This window comes from Homo sapiens, chromosome 7 (genome assembly GCF_000001405.40).
Source record: "Homo sapiens chromosome 7, GRCh38.p14 Primary Assembly".
NCBI classification, from domain to species: Eukaryota; Metazoa; Chordata; class Mammalia; order Primates; family Hominidae; genus Homo; species Homo sapiens.
The window spans coordinates 16,490,144-16,514,435 of NC_000007.14; the positions used below are offsets into that span (position 1 = coordinate 16,490,144).

General features: G+C 39.8%; 2 annotated features.

Moving 5' to 3' along the window:
* Window positions 11,750–12,250: an enhancer, noted in NCBI's record as "H3K4me1 hESC enhancer chr7:16541518-16542018 (GRCh37/hg19 assembly coordinates)". NCBI's record gives its function as "activates a minimal SCP1, AML or CMV promoter by ChIP-STARR-seq in naive H9 embryonic stem cells {active_cell/tissue: H9 hESC(naive)}" and the evidence as "EXISTENCE:reporter gene assay evidence [ECO:0000049][PMID:30033119]".
* Window positions 21,809–22,310: an enhancer, noted in NCBI's record as "NANOG hESC enhancer chr7:16551577-16552078 (GRCh37/hg19 assembly coordinates)". NCBI's record gives its function as "activates a minimal SCP1, AML or CMV promoter by ChIP-STARR-seq in primed H9 embryonic stem cells {active_cell/tissue: H9 hESC(primed)}" and the evidence as "EXISTENCE:reporter gene assay evidence [ECO:0000049][PMID:30033119]".

The following is a 24,292-nucleotide window of genomic DNA, read 5'->3' on the forward strand; positions in this document are numbered from 1 at the left end:
GTGACTGCTTTCTAAAAGCCTGTAAGGTTTCTTTAGTAGTAGTGATGGCTTGAAACTTCTATGTCAGAAGTTGTTCCAAACTTAATCACTCCTCTATAATTGTCTAATTTTAGTGCAAATTAAAGAGACGCATAAATCACTTTTCTTAACTCACAATTTCCACCTGTGGTTACACACAGCTTGCCTTGTACAGTTGTGCATGCAGTACACTGAACAAGTCTAGGGGTTACCGTTTATACTGCAGAGATAGATAGATACATACCTACATATACATGCATACATACATACATCTTTCCAGTAGATAGCAAAGAAATGCCTCATTGTAATAAAAGCAGGTTCCTATGACAATTTTCAAACCGATGATAAGGGGCACATTTTTCTAATCTGCATGGTAACAGATTGAAGAGATCAGTTGTAGTGAGCAGATCTCATACTATCCGGGAAAGGACAGTTTGGCTTTATGATCACAAGTCTGAGAAAGAAGTATATTTGCTATGTATCACACTCTTTTATTTTGATTATGCTCTGCCTCATTTTGTTGCAGTTGTTTGCAGTCTCCACCACATATGGGACTGCAGCAACCGCAATACTAAACATGTAATATTCCCCTTCAGGGGGCTTGAGTGCCAGCCAGGTGGTCCTGAAGGCCAGAACTGAACTAGGCAAGGTCTTGATACCTCAGGCAATTGGGGTGCCAAAACCAAGGAGAGTTGAAGCAAATTACTTTGTAAGAAAGGTCTTTAACTATTATAACTCATACAAATACACATACAGACACCCACACACATATATATACATGCATGTATGTATATATGTAAACAAAATATTCTCATCTTACACTAATTTATTTCACTACAAAATTAACTAATCTTTACCATATTTTTGTCCCTAAAGACATTCTATCGTGGGAATTTAATGGTTTAGAATGAAGGTTTAGCTGTATGCAACGCAAAACCAGAATCACAGTGACTTGTTTAAGGTTAATTTTTATTCTCTTGACTTGAGTAACACAATCTGAATTGCAGACATCACTTGTGCTAACATATCGTTGGACTTAAAATTTAGTCACATTAAAAAAAAATAATCTAGCCCCACAGCCACAGCTAGCTGTAAGAATGTCTGGAAAATGTAGTCTTTGTTCTGGGCCACCATGAACCCAGCTGAATATTTTACTGCTAAGGACAAAGGGAAGAATGAGTGAACTCTGCCCCAGGCTGTGCTCAATAACCTCATGATTCAGTCCAGAAAAGAATCCTAACAACCACTTCTCTAGTGGAAGCTTCTTGCTTTTTTCCTTAAAATAGTTGATCTAATCCTTTTATAATGCTTCTCAAAATTGAATTGAAAACGCAAGTAACTCAAAATGGGAAATCAAGTTTTGTGAAGTTTCTTTACTTGAATCTATTAGCTATCATGACTTGGTCCAACATATTCATTAGAATGGTCCAAAAGTCATCATTCAAATAAATATTTATTGAGCAATAAGTTGCTTACATGAATTCTGAAAAACATATCCAAAAAAAGTAACAAGACTCTCAATATTCATTTATCTATACATATAATTTCATCCAAATCATCTGAATCAATAAATATTAAGGAAGAAATAGAAGCCAATTTACCAATGTTATTTCTATCATGAAAATAATTATGTATTTCTGACTTGTGTAATTTAAATTTTCTTATAAGATTCAGAATGTAAGGCCTTTACTTTTACAAACAAAAATAAAACAAAAAAGATAGATGAATATACGAACAATCTTATAGCCAGGAAATTTTTCACGTAAGTCATTTGGATAACGTCTGATAAAGTGAAACATGTTTTTCGTGAGAATAAACCTGTCTTTAAAGATAGAGAACAATAAGAATAATACAAAGTTAAAATAGAATAAAAAAAGAGTTTGAAATGAACTTCAGAAATTCATAACACACTGTCTATCATAGGGAATTTATACATTCGCCCCCAGTTATTTGAGGAAAGGCCTTTCTTGATATTGTTGGATCCATCAGTGTGCGTTGAAGGTGAATATTGATGATAGGTCACAAGAAAAGGTTCTCAGGAACTGAGTGACAAAGTATAGCTCTCTACCAAATTCACTTTATGGGATAACGTAGACGGCTTAAGCTTTTGTGAATTTTGCCGATAGGCATTTTAAAATTCTGGATCATGATAATACAACACGCTGTATCAGATGACTTTCATCCTGAGGCTCTTTATGCCTAACAGGACAACGACAAATTAATATACAGTATATATTTCTTCCACGTAGTCTCACGAAGCCTGTACATATTTCTTTAAGCAGAATAAATATGTGCATTTTCGGACACTAGCATTTACTTTTTGGGCAAGACATATTCAGACAGTAAATATATGCCTTTCTTGGTTAAAAATGAAATCTTCCAAGGCATACCCCAACCAGATTGTGCTGAATGTGATAATTTGCACACTGAGTGTATCCGCCCCCATTCCTTACTGCCCATTTGCATATAACATTTACTGACCCATGAGCACAGCATTCCAGTAAACCCACAATGTATGGGAGTTCAGTGAGGCTCAAAGTACAAAGTAAACGTGTAATGTCTGTTACTCAGTAAGTAGGATGGCAGTGGGGGGAAGCTGACACTTTGCTTTTTAAACCCGAAGTTACTTCCAACAGAGAAAACAATACCATGTCTTTCTAAGAAACACTAACAATCATATCATATCTTTTCTTCCTGTGTTACCAACCACTTACACTGAAAATGATGACACAGAAGGAAATGGAAAGACTGGGCAAGTCTAGCTACTTTTCTTTGTAGTTCTTCCTTTCTCACCAGTATGCCAAAGGCAGAGAGTGTTGGCAGAATGAGCATATATATCAAGAAGTGAAATGAAAGCAGTTAGGTTAGTTTTGTACAGTGTTTACACTCTCCTTGTAAGAACAAAATGCATACGCACATACAAGCTATAATCTATGAATTGTGGTAATTTCTGTAATTCTGTATGTAATTAAATGTTTTTATATTTCCATTTAAAACTGACATATCATCTTTAAAACTGATATAAAGAAAAATGATAAAATTCATACTCGAATTTTTTAATTTAAAAATTCATAAATTTAAAATTTTTCTTTACTTAGAACAACATGAAATGGCAAGAAAAAACACTCGTGAAAAGTTGAGAAAGGCTGCAGAAGAAAGGAAAGAGCTTTATATTTTAGTACCTTCAATGGAAGTATTCTACTTGAACAAGTGGACTCATATTTTCATTTTGCACTGGGCCCCACAGTGTATGTAGTTCTTGTGTGGGCTCCACTGTCTCTGTCACTGCAGCCTCTACAATATGACTTAGGCATTGTCCTTTTTATGTCATTGCTAAGTCTGACTCTCTGTCCCTCCTACCCCTAGGATTTATAAGTCACCTGGTTCCTTTGACAAATTCTTTTTCTGCTTAATCTAGCTGGGGTGGGTTCTATTTTTTGCAGTTAAGCACACCGATTGATAATAAAAATAACTAAAATTTATAGATTATTACTGTATGATAGTACATATTCCCATAATGGTGAAGTATACACTATTATCTATAATTTACAGACAAGAAAACCTAGGGTTAAAATCAAATAAATTGTCTGAGTTGAATAGCTAATGCATTCAGGGCCAGGATTCAAACCCAAGAAATCTAACTCCAACTCCGTGTGGAGCCGTGTTTATGTTAATGTTTGTCCTCCTAAACATTGTTGATCCCTATGGCAAGAATTTTACTAAGTTCTAAATAGGCACAGTGCCACCTAAACAAATAGCCATTGTTACAATCCGAGACAGTAAATGTTTAAGTATTGTTGCTGAAAACATAATTCTTAGGGAAGATCCAATAAACTGCCTTTTCTGAGAACCACTTTGGTGGTGATAGAGAATGTTCAATGGCTTTTACATTTCGGGGAGTTGCTGTCCCTGGGTTTCATTTCCCTGGATTTTACCTTTCTGAATTTTACAAGATTTTGCCAGCACATGATAACATTGATTAGAAAAGGCAGACAAAGTGAGAAAGTTAGATAGCTTGAAACAGGAATAATCACCTTTTTTTTTTCTGTTTATCAGAGGTGCTAAAATAGCTTTCCCAACAAGTCTTTTTCATGCTGCTTATGCTATGGTTGCCCTATGGAAGTTCACATAGATATCCTGGCAGGATAAAAATTTTGCAATTACAACTGATTCTTGAGAGTTCTTCCCAAATAAATGAGGGACCATAAAGGTTGAGATTGATGGAATGTGGGAGCTTGAACAATACTTACCTGTACATCATTTTGCCATGAGTCCCTCAGTCTGTGAAAATTAAATCATTCTGACTTAGGGACGCATGTCATTTTAGTTTTTAATGTTTTCAAATTTTGCTGATAAAAGGTAACAGAGACACGGTACTTTTTTAAAAGCATGCAATTTACTATTTTTTTAAAAAAAAAGTTATGTAGGCTAAACTGTGTGCAAGTTAAAACATTACAACCATAAAGGTGAGGATCACAGGACAAATATTTCTCTACCAGCTATGAGTGGGATGCTGCCTTTGTGATTTATTCTAAAATAACAAAACAGTCTGAAACAATGAAGTGTTTCTCTACGCTTCATGAATATATATTAATTCAGTTCATGACAGAACAAGTCATTGGCTGCCTCTGCCAAACAGCCAAGAGGGAATGATTGATTATTTTATGCAGAACCTCACAGGGTCTAAAGGTACTTGAAATCTGTGGTAGACGAAATGCAAAATACTGCCAAAAAATGAATGTAACTCTTGAATATTATCACAATATTTATATTGATGACCAGAAGTACTTGAGAATTAATAATCACAAACTCCCCAAATCTACTACAGATATCCATATAAAAACTATGTTTTCATTACTTCCTTAAACAAAACTATTATTGCCTTTAAAGTATATACACACTAGAAAATAGATTTGATTAGCTTCAGTTGCTCACTTCATACACGCTAGTGGTTTACTGTTTTCATGAGAAAATGTTTTTACCATAAGCTAATATGAGCAAACAGCTTATTTTGTTTACAGTCAAATATGGAAAATGGCCCTTCCCAAAAAGTAAATTGACTTAACGTTTTTATTTACTTAGAATCTGAAATCATATCTTTGTGTAATTAGGTAACCATTTATTACTAAACTCATTTTTCAAATTTCTGGCTACTTAAAATTATTTTAGGGGAATGAGATTGCTGACACTTGCCTCTATCCACAAATATATTGTCTTATTTTGGCCCCTAAACATAGATCTCATGATACGAAATGAGATTTATTTAAAGGGCATTCACAGGAAGCAGGAGTGGAGGACCGGGGAGGTTAAGAAGGCAACAGGCCAGCACAGGCATGCACTATGGCAGTGGCTGCTGTAGGCAGCAGGGGTGAGGCTGCTAGAACCTCTGAGAAACAGCATGCCCACACTCTCTACTTGAGGAACAGCTACTGTCCTCCCTCAGTGCATGCAGGGTTCCCTGGGCACAATTACTCCCTCACACTGCAGGGCTGATGAGGCCCCTATGCCTTCAGAAAAAGCTCTGGCTAGTAGTGCCAGTAAAATACAAAACCAGATTCAATTCGGATTTTATGTTTATTTTATTTTTTTGGAGACGGAGTCTCACTCTGTCACCCAGGCTGGAGTGCAGTGGTGCGATCTCAGCTCACCGCAACCTCTGTCTCCCGGGTTCAAGCAATTCTCCTGCCTCAGCCTCCCAAGTAGCTGGGACTACAGGCGTGCACCACCACCTGGCTAATTTTTGAATTTTTAATAGAGATGGGGTTTTGCCATGTTGGCCAGGCTGGTCTAGAACTCCCGCCTCGGCCTCCCAAAGTGCTGGGATTACCGGCATGAGCCACCATGCCTGGCCTGAATTAGGATTTTAGATAGCACTCCTGGCACGTGCTTGAGGCGGGGTGCTGTCAGCATGAGTTCGAGCTTGCCCAGACCTTGCTGCCCCTGTTGTAGCTAAAATCAGAGGTGGCCTGAAGGGAGGTGAAGCAGGGAACCAAAAGCATCTGCTGCCCATGGGTATTCTTTATTTTAAATAAAGAATAAATCTACCACCTACACCAGTCAGAACACCACACATATTCATCCTTATGCATCTTCATTTTTCTAGTCAGCACTTCTATTGTTAGTAATAGTTCTCCACACAATCTCCTCATAATAATCTTTTCATTTGATTCTGTATAGTGCCAGCTTTGCTTAAGCAAATTATATCACAGGTTACTTACCTTTTGAATTCTCTCAAGTCCTCATAGGTTTGTTTGTGCTATTTTCTTGTCACGCTGTGATCACAGATGCTTCATGCACTACCAGAGTATGTTAGTCCAGGCCCTCTAAGAAGCAGGTTCCAAGACAGGACTAGCTGTGCAAGAGATTTATTAAGGCAATGTATTAGTCCATTTTCATACTGCTATGAAGAAATACCCAAGACTGGGTAATTTATAAGGAAAAAGAAGTTTAATGCACTCACAGTTCCACATGGCTGGGGAAGCCTCACAATCATGGCAGAAGGTGAAGTAGGAGCAAAGGCACATTTTACAGGGTGGCAGGCAAGAAACCATGTGCAGGGGAACTGCCCTTTATAAAACCATCAGATCTCATGAGACTTACTCACTAGCACAAGAACACCATGGGAAAAACCCACCCCCATGATTCAGTTGCCTTCCACTGGGTCCTTCCCATGACCTGTGGGGCTCATGGAACTACAATTCAAGATGAGCTTTGGATGGAGACACAGCCAAACTATATCAGACAACATCTCCTCCTTTGTGGAGGGGATGGGAAGGGGCAGGGGAGTGGGGACTGGTCAAACCAGGATGCAGCCTGATCACAGGTAAATGAGAGAGGAAAGGAAAAGGGAGGGTAGAAGTGTCATTTTTATTGTTGTTTTAGTTTAAAATATTTAATTGACAAATAAAAATTATATATATTCAAGGTGTGCAACATGATGATTTGATATGTATACACATTATATAATGATTGCTACAGTCAAATTAATTAACATTTCTGTTACCACCTATAGTTACCATTTGTGTGTGTGTGTGTGTGTGTAGAGAACACTTAAAATCTACTCTTATCACATTTCAAGTACACAATACAGTATTATTAGATATAGTCACTGTGCTGTACGCTAGATCTCCAGAACTTGTTCATCTGAGAGATGAGCAGAGCCATGGGGGAATCCACCTTCGCAGGAGTCCAGCAGCCTGCAGGAACTGTGCTGGGTAAGTGACCCTACCACTCCATCACTGGCTAGGAACCACTTATGGGAAGCATGGCCTCCATGCAGACAGGTATGGAGTTCGTAGTACCACAGCTGGGCTCCTCGCAGTCCCAGATCTGTGAGGCTCACTTTCATGGCTGGCCACTAGACAAGAACTTTCACCAGGAGAGACAGAAAAACACGCCTGCTAAACATACACTCATTAATGGACCGAGTACCCTGTTTAGAGATAATTTTGAAAATGCTTAAGGCACATATTCATGAAATTTAAGCAACTATGATATCTGATTTGTAAAGATATTTTGGAGCAGGGAAATTTTATAACATTTTTTCAAATCACAGCTGCTTAGACATCAGCTTATTTCAACAGCTCCTTAGTTTTCTTGCAGTGAACTGATGAGATATAGTAACAGCTACTTCGTAGGGCCACTATAAGAATCATATGAAGATAATGCAGGTAAAGCTCTTAGCATAATGCTGCCAAATAGTAAAAGTTCAATTAATAATACCTATTATTGAACTACCATTAAAAACTAATATTAATATTAAGCTATTGTTGAACTACCATTAAGTTTAATCAATATTAGCTACTGTTGAACTACCATTAAAAACTAATGTTACATGTATCCATATAAAAATCACCTATTTTCTGTATGAATCCTGGCTCTGCATTCCTGAGGAAACACACATCTCCTTTCCCATTGCTAAAAAAAAAAAAAAAAAAAATACTGAAAGGAACAGGTCACCAAGTTTGATCTTTTTAGTTAAAATGACAGATCTCTGCAGTCATGAATGTGCAACTCTCAATCTATCAATTCTGTTTTGTCATCTGCTGCTGCCAAATAATTCACCCCTAAAACTTAGTGGCTTAAAACAACAAGCACTCATTATGTCTCAAGTTTCTGCTGGTCAAGAACTCTGAAAGGGCTCTTGTGTCAAGTTCTCACTTGGAGTCGCTCATGTAGGTGCAGTCAGACGTTAACTGGTCTTGCAGTCATCTGAAGGCTTGATTGGTTCAAGAAGCTCCATTTCAAGGGTGGCTCACTCATTAGGCTGGCAAGTTTATTGGAGGCCTCAGATGCTCTGCACAGAGCTGTTTGAGTGTCTTTTCAGCATGATTGCCAGCTTTCTCCAGAGCAAGTGATTTAAGAAACAAAGGTGAAAGTTGCAATGACTTATATGACCTAATGTCAGAAGAAACACACCATCACTTCCATTGTATTCTGCTAGTCACACAGAGTTAGCACACAAGGCTATGAATACTGGGAGGCAAAGATCATTGGGGCCATCTTGCATTTAATGTATATATTAATATATTCTACAGAATATAGATACATATAGTATCCAGAAGAAACTATGTTGTGATTATAAGAGTGCTGATTGCACTGGAGAATACAGACAAGAACCATCTTTCAACAGAGCTCAACTAAGCCTTAGTTTTTCACTTGTATACACAGGCAACTGCCACCTTGTGATCTGCCTTACTCTTTTAGGAAAGGTATAAAGCAAAGGCTAGAAATAGGCAGCTTTCAAGCAGAATTCAGCCTAAAGTCAGATTCAACTTGGCCTAATCAGTGCATTTAATGAGTAATGAATATGTAATCAAATGCCTTTAGAATAGTATTGGGTTCTTTACTTTGCCACCACCCTCTGCAGTCTTAAATTCTACAACTTGTATATTATCTGCCTAAGCCCTAAAGGCACTTGCAATCTCTGCCTTAAAGAAACTGAGGGCCAGGTGCAGTGGCTCACACCTGTAATCCCAGCACTTTGGGAGGCTGAGGTGGGTGGATCATTTGAGGTCAGGAGTTTGAGACCAGCCTGGCCAACATGGTGAAACCCCATCTCTACTAAAAATACAAAAATTAGCCAGGCATGGTGGCAGGTGCCTGTAATCCCAGCTACTCAGGAGGCTGAGGCAGGAGAATCATTTGAACCCGGGAGGCAGAGATTGCAGTGAACTGAGATTGTGCCACTGCACTCCAGCCTGGGCAATAGAGCGAGACTCAGTCTCAAAAAGAAAAAAAAAAGAAAGAAACAAGGAAACTGAGATAAGAAATATAAAGAAAAGAGCATGTGGGTGGGGTAGGGTTGGGAAGCTACGAGGGACTGACAGAGAGCTCTTGAAGCAGCTCCCTCAGCCATCCTCCTTCCCCATGAGAGTATTATGAGAACAAATAAAGGTCTTGGCAGTATCACTGAGGATTTAATGTAGCCAACGACAGTATTCCTGAGAATGAAGTTTGTTAAATACTAAAGCAAGGCCATGGAAACTCCTTCTCAGGAGGTCTTTAGAAATAGGAAAGATTGTAATCTTTCTGGAAGAATTTAGGTGTGGTTTTTCTTGGGGGTAAATGGGTTGGTTTATATAACTTTACAAAGTTTCCTATATTAATTTTTGACCCCCGTCTATGACTTTTTAAAAAGTTACCCCCCTTTCTTCCTTTCCCTCCATGCCCCAAAGGCCCCTTGGGTGCAGAGTACATCATGACTTTATCACGAAGCTCATTATTTCCCTCTTCTGGGAAATGGGAGACCACCCATGCTGGCAGTGATAGGCTGCCACCTCAAATCTGCATATTTGGCTTGCTGTAAATTGTCTGTCATTTCATTTTGCCATTTGTAGAATTATTTTCAAAGTCTGGTCATTAGTATTATTTTTTTAAAGTCTTTATTATTTTGTATCTTTTTCCAAAAAGAATTCCCCATGCAGAAGTATTCTAACTAACTTTTAGTATATCCAATAATATATGTATATTTTTAAAGCTCAACACTTTCAAGGAAAGAAAAAAAGTAGTCTTAATTTATGCTTTATCCAAGCCTCATCATTTTCAATGTGTGTGTTCTCATGTGAAGAAATCCAATGCTTCCAACATATTCTTTCAATGTTATGTTTTCTTTTCTAAACAAACAACGTGATGATCAATTTCAATCTTATGCCCAGGCTTCTATACAAGTGTGTTTTCCATTAAAGTTCATCATAACTTTTCCCAATGTGTTTCTCAAACAAATCAAGATTCTTTTATCCCTACATAGCTAAATAGTCTTGATTTAATTTGAGAAAAATGTTACATATCAGAGGTCAACAGAAATTGTAGATGTCTGAGTGCCACTGTTAAAAATTTTATTGCACTAATAAAAAGATACTATATATATCACCTTTTATATACAAAATCTAGAAATTCCTTAACTCCCTTTTTCCCTGTGTGGTGCTATAACTTTCCATGTGTTCACACAAGGGAGTCTCACCTTTTAAAACCACATTGTTTCTTTTTTTAGTTTTTCCAATTATGTACTGCAAAATTTCAAACTTATAGCAAAGCTGAAAGAATTTTACAATGAGCACCCATATGTATATTGTCTTTTACTATAACCTTACCAATACCTCTTTACCACATCTAGGCCCATTTTGGTTAGTATAAAACCATCACCGCTTACTCCCCATAGGCTAACACACAGGTTACCTTGAGAATCTTTGCTATGTTGCTTTATATCCCCACCAGACAAGAAAATTTAGACAGGCTTTATATGCTGTGGTTCGAATTACAATGATAGCAGATTAAAAATAATGACTGCAATGGATTAAAACACATCAAACATGAAGGGATTTATGAATTTATAATAAAACTTTAACAAAAATTCACTGGTCTTCTTGGAGGTTGGTTAAGTCCCAACTTATAATTCTGAAAATAAATCCATAAAGGGAAAAAATAAAGCATTTGTTCTTTTTTCCTATACAAACTGTATTTCTGGGTAGTTAAATCACAGACAAGAGAAAGTTATTCTTAGAAAATGATAGCTAATAAATGCAGGCAGAATGAAAGAAGAGTCACAATTGTACAACCCCTAATAAAATAAAGGAACTAGACAAACGTCAAAGGCTGCTAAAACCTTTAAGGGAAAGAAAGGTTAATAGGAAAAGTTATAATGAGATCATCAGGCTGAAATCTCTTGAACGCACTGATCTTTTGTGTGTGTGTGTGTGTGTGTGTGTGTGTGTGTGTGTGTGTGTATGACAGTCTCGCTTTGTCACCCAGGCTGGAGTGCAGTGGCAAGATCTCAGCTTACTGCAACCTCCACCTCCCCGGTTCAAGAGATTCTTGTGCCTCAGCCTCCCAAGTAGCTGAGATTACAAGCATGAGCCACCACCCCGGCTAATTTTTGTTTGTATTTTTAGCAGAGATGGGGTTTCACCATGTTAGCCAGGCTGGTCTCGAACTCCTTACCTCAGGTGGTCCTCCTGTCTCGGTCTCCCAAAGTGCTGGGATTACAGGTGTGAGCCACCACAACCAGCCCACAGATCAATCTTAATATTGATAGGGACAGGAGGCAGGGAAATTCTGGGCAGAAGAGGGCCCCCGCCAGGGCCCTACCTGCAAGCCAAAAAAACTGAAACCGTGGCCCAAAGTGAGAAGTTACATCCCTGTTTTCCTGCTCGAATGTTGCCTTTTCCAAAACCACCCATGGCCCGCCCCACCCCCCATTCTGTGCTTATAAAAACCCCAGAACTTAGCGGCAGAGAGAGAAGCAGCAGCTGGATGTCAGAGACTATAGCTGGACGTCGGAGAGAAGCAGCTTGACTTTAAAGGGACAGCTTGACAGCATAACCTCAGAGAATAATCTGGCCAGAGATAGCTGGATCTCAGGGGAAGATTACCATCCCTCCCTGTCCCCTTTTCAGCTCCCCTTCTCGCTGAGAACCACCTCTATTGGCAATAAAATCCTCCGCAGTTACCATCCTTCGTGTGACCTCATTTCTCCTGGACATTGGACAAGAACTCGGAAACCACGAGTGTGGATGCAAAAGGCTGTCACACTTGCCCTTTGCCCTCGCTGGTGGAAGGCAGCCACCTCACGCAAAAAGGCAGAGGGCCCACTGAGCTGTTAACACTTAAGCCGTCCGTGGATGGCTGAAGTAAAAGAGTGGTGTACCACTCCCTCTGGGGCTTCTGGGGTCACGAGCACCCCCCAGATGCTGCCGCGTGGCCAGCACAAAGTTTGCTCTTGCCGGGGCTCAAAAGCACTCACCCCAGCTCCCGCAGCTGTTCACCTGCGTTCTCCCTCCAGCGAGGGGTGGAGAGCAGCGGGTCTGAGTGAGTGGAGTTCGCCCCTGCCAGCGCGGAAGTGGCCGGCCAGTTCCAGCGCCTGCGCACTACAGTTCCCACCTCATTTGCTCGCACGTTCCCTCCCACGAGGACTTGAGAGCTGCGGGATTAGTAAATGAGGTACCCCCTTCACTAGTCCTACGAAGGGGTCAGGGAAATATCTTGCTTCAATATCACTAAAGAAGAACAGAAGACATTGTGGGTCTTCTGAATGATGTAGTACGCAAGGCTATCTGTAAAGTATTCCTCCCTGAAACAATTGTGCTAGAATCCAAATCAAGCCTCTGAAGAGGTCTAACTCCCAATATACCAAAAATACAGGCAAAAAGGACATAATAAGTAGTAATGAGGAATCAAGCAACCAAATGCAGAAGATAGGACATTATACAGGACCAATGAGCTGATTTATTCAAAAACTAAAGGACATTAAAATGGGATAGGGTGGTAAGTGGAAGTAGTTGAAAAGAGACTTAAGAAACACATTAACCAAATCCTAATTATGGACCTTGTTTGCATCTTGACCGAAACAAACCAATTGTAAAAAGACATTATTGAAGCAATTGAAAAAATTTGAGCATGAAATAAATATTAAATGATATTGGGTGATTAATACAAGTATTTAGTATTTAGTTATCTTTATCTTTTAGAGTTATAAGCAAAACGATATGGCATTTGGGATTTGTCTTAAAATACTCCAGGAAAAAAATATGGATAGATAGCTAAAACAAGATTAGCCATGTATTATTCTCTCTGCCCTTACATGTTAGAATTTTTGCATTAAAATAAGAAAGAATAGAAAAAATGTTATCAAGATTGGTGATAATAAAGAAGGCATGTGAGGAGAAAGAATAGAATAAGCAAAGTTTCCTTAAGCTTTAAAATATCTGCTGTACTTACTTAAAAAAATAAGTTGGCACATAGGAAAATGTTGAAAAATTATGTAGGAGTCCTACCGTGTATATGCGTGTGTGTATGTGTGTGTCAAGGGGTTCCTTCAATTGCATATTAAGGATTCAGTAATTTATTTTGTAATAAATGTGAATCCAGTAAGGAATTTTTCACTGAACAGTAGTGCAATTAACCCTGTTTTGAGAAAAATAAGTTATCTTAAAAGTTTTGCAGTTAACCAATATTAAGTCACTGGAGCATAACTTAACAAAAAGAAAATAGTAAGATTTGCTTGTTTATTTTTGTACAATATAATAATATTATAATCATGGAAAAGTTTCCAAACTATTATTCACCTCCAGAGATTCTGAGATGTTCTGTACTTTGTCCATCCTTCTCAAACCCTAACATTAAGGTGAGAATCTTCATTTAAGGGGGAATAGATAAAATGGCAGACTGAACACAGAGAAGCAAGAGGTCCCATATCAACAAAGGGTGAGAAGCAGAAGGAAATAAATGCAGGAGCTACCATCAACCTCCAATACCCAAAGCCTTGCTATTTTCCCCACTGACAAGACATAGAAAATGAAGCATCAAGGTCATCAGGCCCAGACAGATTCTTGACATCAGCTAGAGCACACAGAATAAGCAGCTGGTCTATTAGATCTAAAGCTAGAAAATCAAGGAGAAGAAATAATGAAGCTCTCCATTAGGATTTGTAGACATCAAGTTCAGATAGCATTCAGCTACTCTGTCGGCCTCCTTAGACAAACAGGAGTTTTTCCCAAACATGGAAGGCTTCAATGACTCATTTCTTGTGAATGGTTAAACAAAGCTTCACTGGGTAGGTCACTGCAAGGAGTCCCAGAGAAATCTGGCCACAGCTTCAAGCTTCGCGGGTGGTCTTATGGAGACAGCAGGGAAATGAGGTCACACAGTTTAGGGAAAGCCTCCTAACAGAGACGAAGATTGGAAATTGAAGAACAGATACAAGTCGCAAGAAGAGGTGGTATTGATGAAGTGGAATCAGAGAGGGCCTAGCGTGAGAGCTGCCAGGTGGGCTGATCTGGTGGTGGGAGAGGCCAGGGAAGGCAGGGAACCTAGGAAATGCAGAAGGCAAGGAAAAAATGAGGGGGAAAAAGAGAAGGTGGGAGCAAAAACAAGGGAAGTTATGGGGAGAAGAGCAAAGAAAGAAAGTACAAAAGTGGGTGTTGAACCAGCCTACAGAGCCCCTTTGTATTTGTACATCTTTAATATATAACACATTTACACCTAACAACCAATGTAGCTTGGGAAGAATAATATCAAGGTATAACATCAAGGTGAACTCAAGTTGCCTTCTCCCTGAGATATACCTTTTTAATGAGATATTAAACTGGATTCTTTTCTCAGAAGTGAACAATATTCTTTGCCTAAGTATATAGTAATATATCATTATCTATTATTCAAAAAAACAAATGTAGAAGCACTTTGTTAGATGTTTGTTTTCATTACTTGCTTAGGTATTGGTTTCTATATCAAAATATGTCATATGCCATCTCCCATCTCTCCCCTGCTTGGACCATCCAGCAGTGTGAAGATGGCTCTGCCCCAGTAAAGGAGCTGGGTCCTTCTAGCCTACTTGCTTCATTGTGTGTGTGCTTCCAAAAAATGGAAGAGGGAAAAACCCTCTTGTCTCTGCTGTAGTTCCCAACCCCAGACACTCCATTCCAGTGTCTTCACAATCTTTATTTCTTTCTTACTGGACTTTACAATATGAGTCCATTTACCTGGCTTTGACTTTAAATATTTGCTAGCCTAGGAGTAGCTTTAATGCTGTGCCTAGAGCAGAAGAGAAAAGGAGAAGCTGACACAAATTACAGAGGCCTGGTGGTCTTCAAGGGGGTCTAAGCCCAAGTATGATGCATATCAACAATGGGATTTGTAGCAGATTAGTCCTTGCTGGGAAGACCTGGGAAATTTTGTCTCCTAGGTTTCATTCTCCTTCCTGTCTGACTGCTGCTAGTTACTTTGGTTACCCGCCTTCATCTGACCCAGAACTCACATCTAAGAGTCATTCTCAATCTCAGCTGCCTCTCCTAAGAGTCCACTATGAGACTTTAACAAATACTGTTGCCAAGGTCCTGTCCTTAGCAATATCATTGCAACTGGCTGTGGTGATGCCTGGGCTTTGGGATCTTTTGAAGCTCCTCACTAACTTTATTGTGTAGCAGAGATTACAAAATGCTACCATAACATCTCTCAGACCTCTGGTTGCTTAAGTGGTACTTCAATCCAACAATCTCCACTCATGTAAATCAGGAAGAGGGAGTGGGCTATATTGTATCTAAAGTGCCATTTACTAATAAAATAATAAAGCTAAAAATGATAGAGCCAGTCTATTAGTATGCATTGAAAAAAAGTAGCATTACCTTAGACTTTTCAAATAAATTAACAAGCCATCTGGACTGAATGACCTATTTTGGATGCAAGGAAGATGTTTATGTTGCACTTGGTTTAATGTGGAAAAGGAGCATAGGAAGACTGAAATCAGAAATGTGTGGTGTTCATAACAGAAAGTCAATGCCAGATCCAATTCTAGAGTATTACAAAGTACATGAAGAAAAGATGTCAAGCATTGGATAGAGAAGGAACAAGAACTATAGCAGTGAAATGGGGACCAATGATCAGGAATAGAAAGTAGAAAAGGCAAGAAGAGACAAGTACTAGATAGCTCCGATTAATTCTAGTGCAAAGAATATTGCACAAAGCTACATCTGCCCACTTGTGCTGTGCAAGTATAATTTAGTAGCTGGCTGTTCACAAGTCCTAAAGAAAGGTAGTTTATTTTGTTTTCTTTCAAGCACGTTGTATCAGTCAGCATAGGCTTACTCCAATACTCCAGCCATGCCATTTTTCCCACTGACAATAGAAAATGAAGCAGCTGGGCAGCGTGGTTCACGCCTGTAACCCTTGAGGGGCTGAGGTGGGAGGATCACCTGAGGTTGGGAGTTCGAGACCAGCCTGACCAACATGGTGAAACCCCATCTCTACTAAAAGTAAAAAATTAGCCGGGTGTGGTGGCGGGCACCTGTAATCCCAGCTACTCAGGAGGCTGAGGCAGGAGAAGCTTGAACCTGGGAGGTGGAGGTTGCAGTGAGCTGAGATCACGCCACTGCACTCCAGCCTGGGCAATAAGAGCGAGACTCCGTCTCAAAAAAAAAAAAGAAAGAAAATGAAGCATGTTGCAGTAACAAATAATGCCTCCCCCACAAAATTTCAGAGGAGCAAAACCACAAAATGTCACAGTCACAGACCACGCCCATTGGGAGTAGGTAAGGTGGAAAGGGCCTCTTTTTCCAGTAGTCACTCAGGAGCCCAGCCTGATGAAGCAGCCACCATCTCCAAGGCAGTCCAGCTTCATGTCACAGCAATAAAAATGTCCTGGAGGGTCTTGCACTGGCATTTAAATGCTCCAGCTCAAAAGTGCCCCAACTTACTTCTATTTACAACTCACTGGTGACAACTAGTCACCTGGTCCCGCTCAACCAGAAGGAGTCAAAGAAGTACAACTTAACTATGTGCCAGAAAGTGAGAAGGACCAGAAATATGGCAAGCAGCTCGAATGGTACCATGCTTCATTGAGAAAAAGTTAGCTTTTTGTTTTTCTTGCTTTTTATGGAAACATCTATGGATAAAGATATACCATGTTGTATAACATTTTTTTACCCACTAAAATGTAATCTTCATGAGGGCAATAATTTTTTCTGACATGTATGTCTATGGCTTAACCTAGGAAAGTTCAAACAAATATTTTAGGGTAAATAAACTTGTGAAAAGTAAGCACAGACAAAAAGAAAAGAGCTAGGCACAATGTTATCATTTATCAGAATGATTACTATTAATATTAATATTAAAAAGTATTCATAGATTACTTACTATTCATGATGTTAAAAATCACCATGTAACAATGGAACAGAATAGAGAGCCCATAAACAAATCCACACACCTACAGTGAACGCATTTTCAACAAAGGTGCCAAGAACATACGCTGGGAAAGAAACAGTCTCTTCAATGAATGGTGCTTGCAAAACTTGAGATCCATATGCAGAAGAATGAAACTAGACCCCTATCTGTTCCCATATACAAAAATCAAGTCAAAATGATTAAAAAATTAAATCTAAGATCTCAAATTGTGAAACTACTACAGGAAAACGTTGGGGAAACTCTCCAGGACACCAGCCTGGCAAAGATTTCTTGAGCAATACTCCACAAGCATAGGCAACCAAACCAAAAGTGGACAAATGGGATCACATCAAGTTAAAATGCTTCCGCACAGCAAAGGAAACAATCAACAAAGTGAAAATACAACCCACAGAATGGGAGAAAATATTTGCAAACTACCTGTCAGACATGGTATTAATAACCAGAATATACAAGGAGCTCAAACAACTCCATAGGAAAAAAATCTAATAATCCGATTTTAAAATGGGCAAAAGATTTGAATAGACATTTTCCAAAAGAAGACGTACAAATGGCAAACAGGCATATGAAAAGGTACTCAACATCATTGATTGTGACAGAAATGCAAATTAAAACTACAATGAGATATTATCACATCCCAGTCAAAATGACTTTTATCCAAAAGTCAGGCAATAACAAATGCTGGCGAGGATGTGGAGAAAAGGGAACACTTGTACACTTTTGATGGGAATGTAAATTAGTACAATCACTATGGAGAACAGATTCCAGGTTCCTCAAAAAAACAAAAATAGAGCTATCACATGACCCAGCAATCCCACTGCTAGATATATACCCAAAAGAAAGCAAACCAATATACTGAAGAAATATATGCACCCCCATGTTTGTTGCAGCACTTGTTCAAATAGCCAAGATTTGGAAGCAACATAAGTGTCCATCAGCAGATGAATAGATAAAGGAAATGTGGTACTTATATGTAATGGAGTACTATTCAGCCATAAAAAAGAATGAGATTCAGGCATTTGCAACAACATGGATGGAACTAGAAGCCATTATGTTAAGTGAAAGAAGCTAAACACAGAAAGACAAATGTCACATTTTCTCACTTATTTGTAGGATCTAAAAATCAAAACAATTCAACCCATGGAGATAGAGAGTAAGAAGATGGTACTAGAGGCTGGGAAGCATAGTTGTGGGGGGAGGGAGGGAGAGGCGGGGAAGGTTAATGGGTACCAAAAAATAGAATGAATGAATAAAACCTAATATTTGATAGCACAACCGGGTGACTACAGTCAATAATAATTTAATTATACATTTAAAAATAACTAAAAGGCCAGGTACAATGGCTCACACCTGTAATCCCAGCACTTTGGGAGGCCAAGGCAGTAGATTACCTGAAGTCAGGAGTTCAAGACCAGCCTGGCCAAAATGGTAAAACCCCATCTCTACTAAAAATATAAAAAATTAGCTGGGTGTGGTGGCAGGTGCCTGTAATCCCAGCTACTTGGGAGGCTGAGGCAGGAGAATCACTTGAACCAGGAGGGAGAGGTTTCAGTGAGCCAAAATTGCACCATATGTAGCCCGGATAGAGCAAGACTCTGTCTAAAATAAATAAAATAAAAATAATAGAATAAAATAAATAAAAATAACTAAAAGAGTATAATTGGATTGTTTGTAACACAAAGGATAAATGCTTGAGGGGATGGATACCCCATCTTCCATGATGTGATTATTACGCATTGCATGCCTGTATCAAAACATCTCTTGTACCCTATAAATATATACACCTATTATGTACACATAAAAATTCAAATTTTAAAAAAACACCAAGCAAGAAATTTTTATAGCTAAATGATTTACCAACTACATTCAAATGATGCTGTCACCACTTCCTCAAATCACTCCAGGAGTCTTATCCTAATTCAGATTAAGTATAAATTCTTTCATTTTAACCACAAGTAGCCAAGTCAGCCTTGAAATTTAAAAAGAAATTTGGGGGAGGTACAAAGAAGATGGACTTGCCTTATTAGATAGACTTGCAATAAATAGAGCAACATTTTGTGCTCCTGTACCCGGATGGGAAGTCTTAATCATTTACGTTGACATGAATTTTCCTTAAATCTATACATTGAATGCATTTCTGGTCAAAATTCCAGTAGGACTATTTTCCTTATGAAAGTTTTTTATTTTAACTTCATCAAAGTCCTAACTTCCATAGGTCACCAAATCTTACCCAAAAAGTCTTTGACATTTGCTAAATAGCCAGATTCCGCTACACAAATGCTCAAGACCATTGAAACCTGGTGGTGATTTTGTGAAGAAATAAAACCAGGTGGGGATAATCACCATGCCACCATGGGAGAGGATACAAAGCCCAGTATTCTCTCCTACCCTGGAGCCACCCTCAGAGTGTAGCGATGGGGACTCTAGGCATGAGGTCCTTCCCCCTTCACCAGGCCCCAGGACCCTCCCAACTACCTGCTGGACCTTGTGATCAGTTAGAGAGATGTGCCCTTGGAGTTCAAACTGAGTCTTCCCCCAAGAGTCTTGAGCCCAGAGTCTGAGCTGCACAAGGGCAGAATCTGGCCATTGTGTGGTTTGAATCCAGCAAGGAAGCCCAGTATTACAGACAGGATGACAAGTGACATCATATGGTGACTGGTATAAAAAAAAAGAAGCAGCCATCACCACAGGAATAGTTCTAGTTTTGTGGCCTTGCCTAGGGGGCTCTGCATTCTGGATGTTGGTTGCCTCTTGTGGTCATAAAGAAAACATAGCTTCTTAAATAAAGTTGCATGTGCAAGACTCAAAGGCAGAAGGCTGGCAGATTAGCCCTGGCCACTCATCCCCCAAAACCAAGAGCTGAGCCTCATTCCTGCTGTCTCATTTCTACATCCCAGAAACAGCCACCTTCCAAGCTCATGATGGAGTTTCCTTAAACTTCTCCTGAAGAGAATTAAACAGAAACCAGGTCAGGATGTTCTGAGTAGACCATTCATGCCTGAGGGGTCTCTTGGACCCCTTAGAGCTTTTCCTTCTAGTGAGGATCCTCCATGGACTTGGGCTGTGCCCAGGATTTACCTGGGGTGGACAGGTAGGCACAGGGTGACTGTTAAATTCCACAGGATGAATTATTAATGTCTTTCTCATCTATGGTTAGTTTCTCCTGGTTTTCTCCTGTTACAGATAATCCTGTAATAAGGTTTTTTGTTTCTGTTTTTTTACCTAGGGTCAGCACACAGTATGGAGGATAAAAGCATGGAAGCCAGGTCAAATGGGGCGGAGGGGGGCGGTAACTGCCTGTCTCTCTTACTAGTTGTGTGACCCTCGACCAGTTTCTTAACTCTCTGTCCTTCAGTTTCCTCATCTGTAAAATAAGTCTAGGTTGGAAATCTTGCAGATAATATACCGATATAAAAGGGCTATTGCCACTCTAAATGGCCTTCTGGTGGCAAGAACAATGCAATTATTACAGGGACTTCTCAGACGGATCATGACATTAACTCTAAAAAAGGTAACTATTCTGTTTCAAGTTCATCTCTGGCAGAACAGAGCCAGATTCTTATTTTTTATGTTTTCCAATTGGTAAGTATCACTACAGTTATAAAGGTTAAAATGACAATTGTAACTTCGGATACTTCTGATGGAAGATGGAAGGGGGCAATAGCTACACACGTTTATTTATGAAAACCACACAATTTATTAGCTGTATTAGGTACTATAGCAACAGTCTGCATGCAGCATCACAGCTTTCTATTCTGACAACCCCATTATATTCGCTGTGAGTGGAAAAATCTCATAGGTTTTTATTGTTGTTGTTGTTTTTACTTTGTACATAGCTATTTGCCGTATCAACTTGCTTCTTTAAATAGACTCCTATAAAAATCGCATCTGAGCAAGGTTTTAACTCTTGATGAAACAGACTTGTTGGGTGAATGGTCTGTCTCAGTGGCATGAAAAAGGGAACAGATGTTAGAGCCTAAGCTGAGTGAAGACAATGTCTGTGCAGTGGGTCCACATTGGGGATTCAGGGCCTCAGCACGGTGCAGGGAGCAACCCTGTGAGTGGAAGTGAGTAGGAGCACAGGCGCAGTGTCAGAGTTCAAGCCAGGTGAGGAGAACATTCACGTGGAAGCAGGGCATCCCGGTGGGTATAGCAGGGTGAGGAGGGAGGTCCAGGCACACGAGTGTGGACTGTCAGACTCCACCTGAATGAGGGCAGCATCAGCTTAGCAGAGGAAACTGGCATGGTGTATAGACCAAGAAGGGAATGTCTTGGCAATGCAAGCTAAGCAGGCACAGGGAGAGATGGGTGTGGGTATTCATGCAGGGGCAGGATTGTTGTAAAAAGTTTGAGCCCAAGAAAGGTAAGGAGGGTATCCATGGAAAGGGGATACCCTCAGCCCTACAAAGTGCTACGATCACAAGGGTGAGACACCATGCCTTAATTAATTAAAAAAATAATAATAAAGTGTAGTGCTGTCATCTGATTTCAAACATCGCTTTAGAGTGGGGTGAACACACCTCAACGGCACTGTGATGACAACTAAGCAGGGTCCGTGCTGGGTGTGGGAAAAGGGATAGCTAACCATCGTGGGCACACATTACTCCATGTTCTATGTAGTTGTGATGAGCTGGATATTTGTGTGCCCCCAAAATGCATATGTTGAAATCCTAACTCCCAACACAATGGCATTAGGAAGTGGGGCCTGTGGAAGATAATTAGGTCATGAGGGTGGAGCCTTTGTGCGTGTGATTAGTGCTCTTACAAGAAGTGCCAAAGGAAAATATCTTGGGCCCCCAAAATCACTAAGGAAAACTCAAGCTGGGAACTGCTTAGGGCAAACCTGCCTCCCATTCTATTCAAAGTCACACCTCTGCTCACTGAGATAGATGCTTATCTGATTTGCCTCCTTTGGAAAGGCTCATCAGAAACTGAAAAGAATGTAGGCATTTGTGTATCACCTGTCTGCGACCTGGAAGCTCCCTCTGGGCTTCGAGACTTCCTGCCTTTGCTTCAGGTTGTCCCGCCTTTCCAGACCAAACCAATGTACTTCTTACGCATATCGATTGATGTCTCCCTAAATGTATGAAACCAAGCTGTGCCCTGACTACCATGGGCACATGCCGTCAGGACTTCCTGAGGCTGTGTCACCGGCTCATCCTCAATGTTGGCAAAATAAACTTTCTAAATTAACTGAGACCTGTCTCAACTTTTCAGGGTTCTCAGAAGCAACATGAGAGCACTCTCTCTGTTCTCCACCATGTGAGGATCCAACAAGAAGGTGGCCATCTGCAACCCACAAGAGGACCCTCACAAGAACCCAATCACGTTGGCACCCTCATCTCGGACTTCCAGCTTCCAAAACGGTGGGAAATAAAATTCTATTTTTTATAATCCACGAGGTTTATGGTATTTGGTTATAACAGCCCAGACTCTCCTAAGAAGGTGACCATGGAATGTAGGCCCTCTACTTTCTCTCAAGGGTGACATGTCAGTATGTGAATCCTGGAACTGTGATGGCTATGTCGTGATGCGGAAAGGTAACCTGAAAAGAGAGCCAACTTAGAAGAGTGTAGGATTTAAAACTATTAACAGCAGAGATTTAGAGCTCTGGCCATGATTGTACGGAACCTAAAACTGCTCTCTCTTTAAACTACTTGCTAATGGAGGCAAGACACTCCTTTATTATTTAAACAAGTAGATCTTGGTGTTCTGATATTGTAATAAAAACATTTGAATTGGTAACATACCTTTACTCCAAAGTTAGCGCATATCATTGCCAGTGAGTCTGCTAGCAGCTCTGCACATGGTAAATAGGAGAGACTTATATTCTGGGTTATTGGAAACAACAGGTAGGATTATTTACAGATAAACAGTGTAGAAATCGGAGCTTGGAAGCTTCCTCTTAACCGGGAGAAAGCCATAGCCCAGCTTTACGATTTCCCATTGGGTCTCATGTGGGACTACAGACAAGAGCCTCAGGGTCATTCCACCAGTTAAATAAAGTTTCTTTCTTTTTCTTTTTTTTTTTTTTTTTTGAAAAGGAGCCTTGCTCTGTCACTCAGGCTGGAGTGCAGTGGCACAATCTTGGCTCACTGCAACCTCCGCCTCCCGGGTTCAAGCAATTGTCTTGTCTCAGCCTCTCTAGTAACTGGGACTACAGGCACCTCCCACCACGCCTGGCTAATTTTTTATTTTTATTTTTATTTTTTATTTTTAGTAGAGATGGGGTTTCACCATATTGGTCAGGCTGGTCTCAAACTCCTGACCTCAGGTGATCCACCCACCTCAACCTCCCAAAGTGCTGAGATTATACGTGTGAGCCCCAAACCTGGCTTAAAGGAAGTTTCTTTATTTTTATTTATTTATTTTTTTTGAGACAGAGTCTTGCACTGTTGCCTGGGCTGGTGTGCAGTGGCGCAATCTTGGCTCACTGCAACCTCCGCCTCCTGGGTTCAAGCAATTCTCCTGCCTCAGCCTCCCGAGTAGCTTGGATTACAGGCGCAGGCCACCACACTGAGCTAATTTTTTTTTTTTTTCGTATTTTTAGTAGAGACGGGGTTTCACTATGTTGGCCAGGCTGGTCTCAACTTCCTGACCTCGTGATCTGCCCACCTCAGCCTCCCAAAGTACTGGGATTACAGGCGTGAGCCCAGCCAGTGAAGTTTCTTAAATGTTCATAATTAATACAAAGCATAAACTTATTACTACCATAGCTATATAGTTTAGGTGTGATCCTTATATAAGTAACAAAATGAAGTTAATAAAAAGAATTTTGTTCAAATAAGAATAATATATGAAAAAATGAGGCAAGATTAAAAAAAACAGCTGTAGGGTAAGAAGAATTGAAGCTGGGGAAGCTAGAATTTCTTAGCAAAGCAACTGTCAAGTTTACCAGTCTAATAATGTTCTTGGTAAATTTTCTTGTCAAACGACTTCCGACAGACAATTCTTGAACTTTTAGAGAAAACATAAAAATACCAAGAGATTATGTCAGAGAACAGCATAAAGTTGATAGTGGAAATAATTTTCACTGTGGGCCACACCAAGACAAACAATTAGGGAAGTGCACATGTAATTCTTTGAGCCATTAATTTGTAAATGA